Source organism: Homo sapiens, chromosome 4, assembly GCF_000001405.40.
Source record: "Homo sapiens chromosome 4, GRCh38.p14 Primary Assembly".
Lineage (NCBI taxonomy): Eukaryota > Metazoa > Chordata > Mammalia > Primates > Hominidae > Homo > Homo sapiens.
In genome coordinates this window covers 13,495,146-13,509,322 of record NC_000004.12, presented here as the reverse complement: position 1 = coordinate 13,509,322, position 14,177 = coordinate 13,495,146, and the positions used below count along the sequence as shown (strand labels likewise).

The following is a 14,177-nucleotide window of genomic DNA, read 5'->3' as shown; positions in this document are numbered from 1 at the left end:
ACTCTGACATTCAAACTTCCACAGAACCTTAGGTCTTGAATGCTTTTCTAACCCCCCCTTTTTTTTTTCTGTCAGATACCCTGAATTATCACTCTGACATTCAAACTTCCACAGAACCTTAGGGGCAGGGCACAATGCAGCCAAGTTCTTTGCTAAGGCATAACATGAGTGACCTTTGCTCCAGTTCCTAATAAGTTTCACATTTCCATTTGAGACCTCATCAGCCTGGCCTTCACTGTTCATATCACTATCAGCATTTTGGTCACAACCACTTAACCAGTCTCTAAGAAGTTTAAAACTTTACCTCATCTTCCTGTCTTCTTCTGTGGCCTCCAAGCTCTTCTAGCCTCTACCCATTACCCAGTTCCAAAGCTACTTTCATATTTTCAGGTATCTTTACAGCAATGCCCCACTCTTGGTACTAATTTCCTGTATTAGGATGTTCTTGTATTGCTGTAAAGAAATATGTGAGACTAGGTAATTTACAAGAAACGTGGTTTAATTGGCTCACAGTTCTGCAGGGTGTACAGGAAGCACAGTCCTGGAATCTCCTTCTGGGGAGGCCTCAGGAAGCTTTTACTCATGGCAGAAGGGGAACAGGAGCTTGCACATCACATGGCAAGAGCAGGAGCAAGAGAGAGTTGTACGGGAGTTGCCACACCTTTTTAAATGACCAGATCTTGTGTGAACTGATCAAGAGCTCACATATCACCAAGGGGATGGTCCAAGTCATTCATGAGGGATCCACCCCCGTGATCCAAAGTCCTCCCACCAGGCCCCACTTCCAACATTGGGGATTACAATTCAACATGAGATTTGGATGGGGACAAATATCCAAAGTATATCAGGCATTAATCCTTTCATGAGAGTGCAGCCCTCATGACCTAAACACTTCCTATTAAGCTCCACCTCCCAACATTGTTGCATTGGGGATTAAGCTTCCGACACATGCTTTTTGGGGACACATTCAAACCATAGCATCTATATTTTGGGATTTGACGTAAAAATATAAATAATGCCAATTTGCTATTTAAAATGATCACACTTAGTCACTGCAATTTAGAAGGCAGTGATTCAGAGATGTAATTGTTTAAATAAAATGGTCAGTAGGAGAGATGTGAAGGGAAATCTACAAACTCAAGGACAAATGCCAAAAAGAGGATTTTTGACAATGAAAGAAAGAGAGAAAAATAAGTATTTGTTGTAAGAACAGATTCCAGTTTGCAAAGCCAGCTGGAAGCTAAGAGAATTTGTCCTTGATAGACTACATACAGGAAAACTGGCCAGAGAGAGTTTAGCAGGGTGGTTAAGGAGGACTCTCAAGATAGACAGGACTTGGTTTGAATCTTTGCTCTGCCATTTTTATCAAGGTAACCTTAGAGAAGTCTCATCATCAACCTAAAATTCACCATTCTCATCTATAAAATGGGGATAGTACCTATTTCATAGAGTTGTTAAGACATTAAATAAGCTAATATGCATCACCTAGCAAAGTGTCTAGTCCATAAAATAAGGCCAAGTATAAATAAATAAAAGTAGAAAACTCAAAACTCCATTTTAATTCTAAACAATTGGGAAAATTAGCGTGAAATTAAAATTTTAAGATGGCTCTCGATATCCCCACACCCTAGTTTATACGCCTTGCATATGACTATGATGAGATAGTCACTCCCGGGATTAGACTCTGTTCTAAGGTACAATTGACTTAAAGAACAGATTATTCTGAATGGACCTAAACTGATCAGCTGAATCCTTAAAAGGGACTGTGCTTTTCCTAGTGAAAGATTTCAGAAACATGAGAGGGATTCAACACAAAAACAGATTCTCTTGTTGGTTTTAAAGATGGAGGGAGCCACAGGGTAAAGGAAGCAGTTGGGAAAGTTGCCCCTAGCTGCCGGCCAGCAACAGAATGAAGCCTTCAGTTCTACATCTGCAAGGAACTGAACCTTGCCACAGCCACAGGAACTTGAAAAAGGACACTGGGCTCCAGATGGGAAGGTAGCCTAGCCATCACCTTGATTTCAGCCTTGTGAAACCCTGAGTAGAGAACCAGTTATATTGTGCAAAGACTTCTGGCCAAGAGAACAGTGAGCATAAAAATTGGTGTTGCTATAAGCCACAGTTTGTGGTCACTTGTTACGCACTGAAAGAAAACCAACACATTTTTGTTTTATAACTGATAGGATCTTTGGAAAAGAGTGACCAGGTCCTTTGGAATTTGGAATTTGGAGATGAATATAATGTATTTTTAACATTATTATAAAATGCTGAACTATTATATAAGTTAGTTAAATCAGTTCGCATTTCCATCAGTAGTGTATGATAGCTCCTGTTACTCTACATCCTCTTCACGATTTGGTATTGTTAGACTTTTAAATTTTTTCCCATCTGCTAGTTACAAAGTAATAACTGCTGTTTTAAATTACATTGTCTTGATTTCTAAGAAGATAAATAAATTTTTATATGTTTATTGATGATTTGAATTTCTCCTGTTTCAAAGTACCCATTCCAAATCTACTGCTCATTTGCTTATGGATATATGTCATACATTCTGGGTACAAGTAAGTCTTTTTTTGGTTTCTTATTTAGATGTAAAAATTCTATCTGCACTACAAATGTTCTTCCCCACTCTGGCTTGTCTTTTCACTCTCCTTGTGGTATCTTCTGATAGACAGAAGTTCATGATTTAAAGTAGCTTTATCAATCACATTTTTATTTATAACAATGCTTATTATGTTTGATTTATGAACTATTTCTTTCTTCTGAGGTAATACAAATATTTTTCCTGTATTAGCTCCTAAAATTGTATAGTTTTGCTATTTATGTTGAAGTCTTTTACTTGTTATGTGTAGGGTGTTAGGTAAGGGGTTCAGTTTTATTTTTCTTTTATTTGATTAGCCAATTGAACCCCCTCTTGAAACAGCCTATATTATTTAAACTTTTTGTTATGAAAATTTTCAAGTATATATAAAAGTAGCCTTGTATATCTTTTCTTAGATATATTCTTAAGTGCATGATACTTATTACACTATTGTGAAAGTTACCTTTGCCTTTTTATTTAATTTTCTACTTAGTAGCTGGTATATAGCAACTAACTGCATTGATTTTTGAGTATTGATTTTTGTACCCAAGAGATTTGCTAAACCCACTTTTTAAAGTTAATAATTCATCTATAATTCTTTTGGATTTTCAGTGCACATAATTATATCAGCTTTGGATAATGAAAGTTTTATTTCTTCATTATAATTACTTCTTTTTTAAAGTTATGTTACTAGCTAGGATTGCCAATATATCATCTTAATCTCAATGGGAATACTTCTGACATTTTACCACTAAGTATAATATTTGTTGTAGACTTTTTGTAAATTATTTTTATCAGGTTAGGGGAGTTTCTTTTTCTAGTTTGCTAAAAGAATTTTTAAAAAATCATGAATAGATGTTGAATTGTACTGAATTATAACTATTTCCTCCATCTATTGAGATAGTCATAATTTTTATTCTTTAATACATTACATTATTTACTTTTTTAAACTTTTGAGATGGGGTCTCACTCTGTCACCTAGGCCAGAGTACAGTGGCATGATCATAACTCGCTGTAGCCTCTACTTCCTGGTCTCAAGTTATTTTCTCACCTCAGCCTCTCAAGTAGTTGGGATTATAGGCACCTGTCATTATGCCCACCTAATTTTTAAATTTTTATTTTTTATTTTTTTTGCAGATATGAGGTCTTCCTATGTTTCCCAGGGTGGTCTCAGACTCCTAGACTCAAGAAATTCTTTCACCCTGGGCTCCCAAATCTTTGGGACTATAGTCATGAGCTATCATGCCCGGCCACATTATTTAATTTTATAATGTAAATGTAAGCCAATCTTACATTCCTTTCCTTTGTCATGGTCTCACTATGTTGCCCAGGCTGCTCTGGAACTCCTGGGCTCAAGTCGTCCTCCCACCTCAGCCTTCTAAATAGCTGGGACTACAGGTGCCCACCACTGTGCCCAGCTATGACTTTAAACCACTTTCACTCCACTTACGCCTTTCTTTCTTGAGCTTATATGTTATTATTGTCATGTATTTTAATCCTACCCTTTCAAACACCACAGGATATTATTTTATATACTCAGTGTTCACTTATTTATCCACAAAATTATCACTTTCTTTGTTCTTCACATGGGATTGGTTTTTCCATCTAAAATCTATCTTTTAAAATTTCCTTTCGAGTGAGTCTAATGGTGGTAAATAATTTTTTAGTAGCCTGAAAATACCTTTATCTCCATTCTTGCATAACATTTTCTCTGTTTATAGAAATGTAGAATATTATAGATCCCATTTCTGAGTCTGAGTTTCACTGTGGCTGTTGAGAAGTCAACCGTTAGTATGCCACATCTATAATGATAATCCAACTTTAAGGCCCTCTCTGACTTTGAGGTTCTGCATTTTCGTAGGATGTGCCTGGGTGTGGATTTCTTAATTTTTTTTTTTTCTTCAGAGACAGGGTCGCCCAGTCTGGTGTGCAGTGGTGCAATGATGGCTAACTTCAGCCTTGACCTCCAGGTCTCAAGTGATCTTCCTACCCCCTGACTTCAAGGGATCCTCCAGCTTCCCAAAGCATTCGGTTTACTGACATGAGCCATGGCGCCATACTCGGATTTTTAAAAATTTCGCTTGTTTGAGATTCACTGTGATTACTGAATAAGTAAATCAATATCTTTCATCAATTTTTGAAAAACTCTCACCCCTTATCACTGCAAATATTGCATCACCCCTATTTTTTCTTTCATTGTATTCTGTAACTAAGATTGAATATTTGTTAGTCACTTTATTCTACGTGTCTTTCAACATTTATTTCATGTTTTTCTTCTCTTTTATTTTTGTGCTCCATTCTGGATACTGTCATATAGATCATCTTCTAATTAACAAATTCTTTTTTCATCTGTGTTAATTCTGTTGTGTGTGTGTGTGTGTGTGTGTGTGTGTTTCCTTTTTTTATTTTTTTTTTTTAAGAGAAGGTCTCACTCTGTAACCCAGACTGAAGTGCAGTAGTGTGATCATGACTCACTGTAACTTCAAACTCCTGGGCTTGAGTGATCCTCCCATTTCTGCCTCCCGAGTAGCTGAGACTACAGGTGTGTACCACCTCACCTGGATAATTTTCTAATTTTTTGTAGAGACGGTGTCTTGTTTTGTTTCCTAGGCTTGTGTTTTTAATTTCAATTATTTTAATTTTTGTGTTAAGAAATACTATTTGATTTTTTAAATCTGCTACTTGCTTTTTAATAAATTCTTCCTTACAAGTATGTTCAAGCTTGTCTTTCACTTCTAAACATAATAAGCATGATTTCTTCATTGCCTGTGTTAACAATTTCATTATATTAGTCATTTTAGATGTTCATGCTGTTTGTGGTTTCAGCTAATTGTCATTTACAATGCTTTATTTCCATGTGTTCAGAGCTATCTGTGTCTGTCAACTGCCCATTTTTCTTAGAAAATTAACTGGATTCTCTGTGGCATAGACTAAAGGTGCCTTCCTCCAGAAATGATTGCTTTTATTTCTTCTGTAAGTCTAGGGGCATTAAGATTGGAGACCCACTTTAAGCTAATTGTTGGCTTGAATTTAATCAGTGATGTAAGTGTCATATGTCCTCCCTCCTAGTTTGCCTTTTAACTTTGTTTACGGTGCTTTTAAAAATTGAACTAAAGTGTTTTTTTAATTTTAACATAGGCATATGTTAAAGTATTTAAGTATTTCTAACTAAACGTACCCTTTCTTCATAGTTTTGTTTGTATGTCTTAAGACTTCCTTCTCTACTCCAAGTTATATATTCTTTATTGTCATCTAAAATATTACAAAGTTTTGATTTTCTCATTTGTAAAATATTTTTATTTACACTGTGAGATAGAAACTTTATTTTTTTCCCTATAGATATCCATTAGTCCAAGTACCGTTTACTAAATACTTAATCCTTTCCTCACTGAATTGAAATACTAAATTATCATGTATGTCTGAGTCTTTCTGGGTTTCTACTCTGTTCTACTGATGCCTTTACCTCTATACTGTCTGCAGGCCGTCTTCTTCTTTTTCAAAATTATTTGACAACCAAAATTTGGGATCATTTTTTTCAGTACCACATTAAAACAAGATTACAATCTCAATTGCAATTGAATTTATGTGACTTTATATAGAATTGGGACTATTTCACCATAATAAATTTTTTTTTTTTTTTTTGTGACAAGGTCTTGCCCTGTTGCTTGGGCTAGAGAGCAGTGGTGCAATCACAGTTCACTTCAATCTCTAACTCTTGGGTTCAAATGATCCTCCTGCCTCAGCCTCCCAAGTAGCTGGGACTACAGGCATGTGCCACCATGCCCAGCTATGTCCACAATGTTTTTGAACATCTTTTGTTTCTCATTACCTTACAGTTTTTGTGTTTGTGAATGATACCGTTTTTCTTTATACTTTCTGGTTGCTTTCGCTGGTGTAGCTGGTGTTTAGAAATATCACTAATTTTTGTATGTTGATCTTGTATCCAGCAAGCTTAATGAACTCTTTTTAGGTCTATGAGTTTATTAAGAGATTTGCTTGTCTTTTCTATCATGGTGATCATATCATCACAGAGACAGTGTTGTCTTTTCCTTTGCAACGTTTCTTCCCTATATGGTGGTGAATACAGAAGATAATAGCAAGCAAACTTGCTTATTTATTCCCAATTTAGAAATGCTTCAAAAGTTTTCCCATTTAGCGTGATGTTTACAGAGGCTTTTGCGAGTTATTTTTAAAAATCAGATTAAGGAAGTTTCCTTCTATTCTTCATTTTCAAGAAGTTATTATTTTTTAAAATCATGAGTGAATACAGACTTTTGTTGAATGCACTTTAGGTCTCTGTAATTTTTTTTAATGAATAGATAGAATTTATTTCAGAAATTATTAACTCAATGTACTAAACAACATTAATAGGAAAAATCCTCACTAAAAAAGTTTGATAACATTTAGTATTTATTTAGAATTAGGATTAGAAAGAAAATGTTTTAATGTTGAAAACCTTCCCTCCGACAGTGAGATGATACAAGGATGCCCAACATTTATACAGCACTGTTCTATAGTTATTATTGGTCCCTGTAATATTGAGTTAAATTCATTTGTCTTTTCAAGAAGACCTGAAGTCATTTGCACCCATAGTTTCAGTTTTATTTATTGCTTTTTTTTTTTTTTTTTGAGACTGAGTTTTGCTCTGTCGCCCAGGCTGGAGTGAAGTGGCGTAATCTCAGCTCACTGCAACCTCCATCTCCCGGGTTCAAGCAATTCTCCCACCTCAGCCTCCAGAGTAGCTGGGATTACAGGTGCCCACCACCACGCCCGGCTAATTTTTGTGAAATTAGTAGAGACAGGGTTTCACTATGCTGGCCAGGCTGGTCTTGAACTCTTGACCTCAGGCAATCAACCCACCTCAGCCTCCCAAAGTGCTGGGATTACAGGCGTGAGCCACCGCGCCCGGATATTTACTGCTTTAATCTTCTGATTCACTATGATTTGCATCTTGAATTGTTTTTATACTTTCTCTATTTAATATTACATGTTCATAGTAGAGGAGATTGCCTCAAATTAAAAGCTTCTATAAGCTTTTAACTAAAAATCTGATAGGCGTATTGTGTTGAATTAGGACCCAACCCCACAAAGATATACTCATGTTCTAACCTCTGGAACCTATAATGTGATCTTATTTGAAAATGCGTCTTTGCAGAAGTGATTCAGTTAAGAATCTCAAGATAAGATCATCCTATATTATCTAGGTGGGCTGTAAATCCAACAAGTGTCCTTCCAAGAGACACACAAAGGAAGAACATAGGGCAGATGGAGGAGAAGGTCAAGTGCAGATGGAGACAGAGACTGGAATGATGTAGCCACAAGCCAAGGGGTGCTTTCCCCTGGAGCCTTCGACAGCTTGATTTGGGACTTACTACCTCCAGAACTGTAAGAGAATTGATTTCTGTTGTTTTAAGCCACTCAATTTGTGGTAATTTGTTGTGGCAGCCTTACGAAAGCCTAGTGAAGTTGGCATTCTTTATTCTGATTATTGATTCTTTTTCTATTTTACATGTTGTAAACCTCTTCTATAGTCTGTCATCCTTTAACTTTGCATAGGGGTGATTGTCATCTCTTTTCATACAATAAGAGTCTCATTGCCTTCTAAAACATCTCTTTTTTTTTCTGGAATGATTTGAATTCTTTTTCTGAAATTAAGGTAAAGGAGGACACATAGTGATCTCATGGAAGGGTATGTTTAGTTAGAAATACTTAAAGTAGAGAAGTTAACATCGTCTCCGCATAAACACAAATCAACTTCATATTTGACCTAACATTATTGACAGTATTAAATGAGGAAGGACTGAGCCCATTGACGTGGAACACGAACAGGACATTTTTATTATCCTAGCAGAATCAGGGAGGGAAAATAAGTCTGTAAGATTTATGGAAAGGTATCTGAAAATCTATACAATCAGGCAGTCCTCAGGTGAAAAATTCTGTATATGTTCCTCTGTGTGTTTTAAAGAGCCGTTTCATTTCTAATATTTAAGATGTGACTTTTCCTAACTCTTAGTATGATATATAACTTGGTATTTATAAATATTTTCCTTTATACCTTTTACCTGCGAAATCTCAAATAATGTGGCTCCACTGTTAATAGATAACTATTTAGTAACTGAAAAATTAAGTATATTATCGAATAAATAGAAAATCATTTTCAAGCTTTCTAGGATGGGTTTTAAATTGCCAGTACACTCTGAAGGCATGAATCTCCCCTGCGTGGGTCACCAGTCAAGGACCTGCACGTGCATTCACATCATTAAGTATTTTTCTCATTAACTAAGAAGAATATTGATCTTTGGGTGAGGGCTTTGGAGAGGAGAAGCAGGAGTCTTGTAGCTTACTGTGTCATACAGTGGAGCTCTGAGATAGGTATTTTTCCCTTCAGTACTTCAGCCATGACCTGAACTACTGGAGTTCAGCTTCAACATAATTGCAGCACAGCAAGGAGTCCCTTCTGGAAACCAGCTGCTTGATCAGGGATTCATTTATCAGGGGGATTATGACTCCAAACATTTTTCTAGACTGTTGTGGCCATTTAAAGGGGGAAAAAAAGAGGAGTCTGGGGAACTAATTAGGAAGGAGTGGCTCCCCTCAGAGTCTTGACCTTAACCCTACTGAGAAAGTATGGGATTTACTTTACCTAAGTAAGGAAAGAACATAAATAGTTGGCAAAAATGCTTTGTGGTATGACTTCCAGCAAGTAATGAATTGGCCTGATACAGAGAGAAACATACACACACACATACACACACGTGCATGCACGTACACACCTATAAGAAAAACAACAAATGCTTTAAAATTGCAATTAAATGTATCATTATGACATATGTTATTATTTTGTATTTTCCTGGTTACAAGAAAAATAGATTAATTTATGATTAGCATATAGAGGATTTAATCTGTGACTAGCATATACAGGATATAACCTAAAAACTTTTTTTTCACATTTTGGTAGGTTATGGAATGTTAATACAATGAATTCAGGTGTCACTTTCTATTATTCTGCTTAGAATATTGTGTTTTGCTTATGTGCATTTAATGTCTTTCATTAATTCTAGAAAATCCTTAGTCTTTACATTTCAGCATATTACCTCTTCCATATCCTTTCTCTCTTCTCTTTCTTCAACTGTAGTTACATGTTACACCTTCCCAGGTTATTCTCCATGTTTTTCAATGTCTCTCCCATTTTTAAAAAATATCCTGATACATCTGTGGTACATTCTGGGTAATTTCATCATATTTATTTTCCAGTTACTGAGCTGTTTCAAATCTACTACTTAATCCAGTCACTAAGATTTTAATTTCAATGATTATAATTTTCATTTCTAAAAGTTTCATTTAAAACAGCAACAGAGGTTTAGTTTGAAAAAGTTTTTGGTTTAGTGTTGAGAAGAACTTAGAGCTTGTATACAGTTTGCAGAATTGCAAAAACTTCAGAAACTTGGCTTTTATTGACAGCATTGTGCTGTCCTCTCCCTTGCATTTCTTTAAAATACTAGTATTTTGATCTTCATAATACCCTTGTGAAGTGTTTACTCTTACTTCTATTTTATGGGTAACAAAACTGAGGCTAAGAAGCCTACCCAAGGCCTATAAATTAGTAATAAGTAGAGCTGAAATTAAATTCATGTTTTATTTCTCTCCTTATAGCCATATTTTTTCTTATTTAAGTATATATTGTTAAATAGTTGTCATGAATATACCATGGAGTAGTGGAGGGTCAAGTAACTAGGGAAAGATGTGCTAAATCCATTATATAAAAATTAAGATTTTTTTTTGGAAAAAGCTAAGTAGGCTTAGCCCAGGATAACTCAAAATTTTATTTCAGTTTCAAAGTAATTTCTTTTTCCTACTTATTTTGTTCATGTCTATGAATTTCCTCACTTCTTGCTTTATTTTTTCTATATTTGTATCCCTTCTTTCGGGGTCTTATATTCTGTAAAGTAATTCACAAATTGCAGTTTCTAATATTTAAGATTTACTTCTTACTTTTGTTGGATCATTATAAAGAGGAAGTTAGACAATATATGCTAAATTTCCTCATGAGGTGTCTGTTTCATAATGGGTACTCAAAAAAAAGAGGAATTGGAAAAATTCTTTTATTTGCAAAGGCAGCATAAATACTAATCAAATAAAGTCATAATTCACCTTGGTATCCCTCACAGCATGTATCAATCAGGGTTCTCTGGAGAAACAGAACCACTTTGTGTGTGTGTGTGTGTGTGTGTCTGTGTGTGTGTGTGTAGTGACAGAGAGCAAGAAAGAGAAGAATTTGAAAGAATTGGTTCATATGATTGTGGGTGCTGGCAAGTCTGTAATTTGTAGGGCAAGTCGCTGGCTGGAAACTCAGGCAGGATTTCTAGACTGTTACAGTTTTAAGGTAGAATTTCTTCTTCTCCAGGAAACTCGTTTTTCAATGTTAACTATCACACAGCGGGTAGTATTAATCTATGGCTTTGTGTGTGCAGGGGCTATATCTAGTGTTTTTATTGAATTCAGTTAAATTTCTTCAGGAAAATGATTCTCCTGTATCATACCAAACTTTAATTTATCCATATTTAGTCAGAAAGCTTACTCTTTCTCCCTTTACTCATCTCGCAAAAAAAGATATTTCAAAATATTAGCATCACTGGCTTAACTGGATAGGTTGCCATCGCGAAGTCTTTATAGACAAAATTCATTTGAATATTTATGTACTAATGTGCTTACTTGATATGAAAATGAGACACTTTAATAAAAGGTTCTAATATAGATTTAGTGTTATACTAAGCACTGTATATGTATTGATAAGCTTTTTAATAATCCTGTTAAGTACTATTACTATAATCTCTATTTTATAGGTGAGAAAACTGAAACTCACAAAATTTAGATTACTTGTCCAACGTCATAAACATGACTACAAATGTAAATCAGATCTATTCAAATCTATGCTACTGCTTTAACCACCACGCTTGAGCTTCTCTTCATGTTCTTATGATACTAATTTATTTTAGTAATAATGACTAAGGCACTGAGAAAGTTTTAAACATTCTGAATCAAAACATTTGTATATCATAATACTGAGCTCCCCATATATTTAAGGAGAAATTGAAACCTTTTGCATATGAGCCCTTCTATAATGAGGATTTAAGTATTAGAACTAAGTTTCTTAACTATGCATATGATTTATTTCTTTTCTGGAATTTTTAAAAGTAGGGCTTCTAAAATAATATTTTATGTGATATTAGTTATATTAGTTCTATATATTAGTAAATATTATTTAGAAAATGGGTTCTTTGGTCAAATAAGTTCAGGGAATTTCCAGAAATGTATTTGACTAAATAACCCTTTTTCAAGTAATGTTGGGTTGTAAAAGGTCAACGGAGATTATTTATTGCAGTATTTCTCACAATATAGTCTGTTCAAGTGTATTGTCACCTTCCAAAAGTAGAGTAGCTATAGCTGTTTTCAAACTAAACAGCAATTCATTGGACTAATGTCCAAAGAACTCACTTTTGGGAAATGCCCTCTCAAAATTAAGATAATACTTTATAGCAGTATCTCACTTGTCTGAATGTCTTAAATTTTACAACGTAGATACACTGAAAACCCAGATGACATAGCTAAGGACCATCATAGATAAAGCAGTTATGCAATGGAGGAGGGCTGTATAAAACAAGGTTTCAGAAGAGATCAAAGTAAAGGATATTAGGAGTTAGAGAACATTTGCAGCGCTGCCATTCCATGGACTCCGGAAATGCCATTTCCCTAGTACCACTGGAATCTTTATGCCGGCTTTTGATGGTGAAGGAAATTCACACCTTCAAAGCTCCCACAATCAAGCTTCAAATAATGTTTTGTGTTTGTACCACAACTCCTATTTTTCAGAACACTTCTACACATATTACCTTATCTAACCATGCCAGCCTTGCTGGTGAGTTGTGATAGGTCTGGTTTTTACAGCTGTGGAGGTGATTTGAGAACTCTTCTGCTCTACAGATTTTTGGTTTTGTCTGGAGCTATGCTTTAGGAATCAATGAAGCACGTCCCCATGCAATGAGGCAGAACTGTGGACAGATGGAAAATTGCAGCTCACAAACCAGTTTGGGGTTCTGTTACAAGCAAGAGTTATTTCTTTTCAAACAAAGGCTTTTAGATGATTATTAAACTAGCAGGTTTTGTATGTATTAGCAGAATATACTAATCATATGACAAAGTTCTCATCTACCTACTGTGAAAAGGACTGTTGTTTATTATTCGTCTTTTGTTACTGTTGAACTATTTTTATCCTTTCTTTTCCATTTTTAAATCAAATTTATGTTCACTGTAACAAATTTCATACAATATCAAAATGTTTAAATGGAAAGGGATAGTTCTCTATAATCTCACTACTATTAATAGCTATTCATAATTTGGTTTGTATTAGTCTAGATATTTTATATGCATTTGCTATCAATTATATATGTATATATTTATAATTATATAAGCAAAACATACAGAAGATTGTACACATCAACTTCATAGCTAAGTGAATTATAAGAAAGAACACACATCCATGTGACCACCATCCAAGTCAAGAAATAGAATGTTATCAGTAATTCGAAAGTACTGGTACCTCACTCATAGGTAGCCAGTACTTTACTTCTAATACCAATGTTTTGTTTGTTCGTTTGTTTGTTTGTTTGTTTTTACCTTATGAAAACAGATTCACAGAAGATGTTCTCACTTGTCTCTGGCTTCTTTCACCTAACATATTGTTTTTTTTTTCATATTGTAATATGTAGCAATTCATTCATTTTCATTGCTGTATAATATTCCACTGTGGGAATATGCAACATCTCAATTGTGGATGGACATTTAGACTGGTTCCAGTCTTGAGGTATTATGCATAATACTGCCATGAACATTCTTGTACATACCTTTGGTTGCCTTTTGTTTGGGTAGATACTAAGAAATCAAACTGCCCAACTATAGGTTGTGTATATTCAGCTTTACTAGATGATGCCAAACAGGTTTACAAAGTGGTTACAGAAATATATACTCCTATCAGCAGTGCATGGAAAATTTAATGGTTTCACATCTTCTCCAATTCTTGGCAATATCAGCCTTTGTAACTTAACCATTCTGGTGTATGGGTAGTGGTAACTTATAATAGTTTGCATTTGCATTTAACTGATTACTAATGAAGTTAAGAACCTTTTCATGTTATTGGCCATTTCATGAAGTGCCTATTCAAGCCTCATGTCGAACATTCTATTGGGTTATTTGTGTCGATTTCTTATAGCTGCAGGTAAACTTTCCAATTCTAGATACAAGTGTCTGCATTATATGTACTGAAAATATTTTCTTCTGCTCTGTGGTTTTCATTTTAATTTGCTTAAATGTATCTTTTGATGAGAAGAATTTTAAAATTTCAATGTAACTCATTTACTCAACTTTTCCTTTAAAGGTTGGTTTCTTCATTTCTTCTTTAAAAACTCTTCACCCACTGCAAGGTCTCAAAAATATTTCCCTATGTAATCTTTTAAGAAGTTTCTCACCTTCGGACTTAGCTTTATGAAATGGCCAGAACTGATTTTTGAATATGGTATCACGTACGATTCAAGATTCACTT

The 14,177-nt window shown here is 34.8% G+C and overlaps 1 long non-coding RNA gene across 3 annotated transcripts in view; it reads right to left on the bottom strand.

Moving 5' to 3' along the window:
• LOC124900669 (uncharacterized) overlaps window positions 1-14,177 on the bottom strand; it is a 33,740-nt gene that overhangs the window by 15,535 nt on the left and 4,028 nt on the right. Inside the window, exon 1 of one of the 3 annotated variants that reach the window (XR_007058053.1) lies at window positions 12,472-12,659. The exons of the other annotated variants lie outside the window; for them this stretch is intronic. This is a non-coding gene — a long non-coding RNA (uncharacterized LOC124900669). Of the gene's footprint in view, window positions 1-12,471; window positions 12,660-14,177 lie in introns of those variants that run through there. 3 annotated transcript variants of the gene reach the window in all.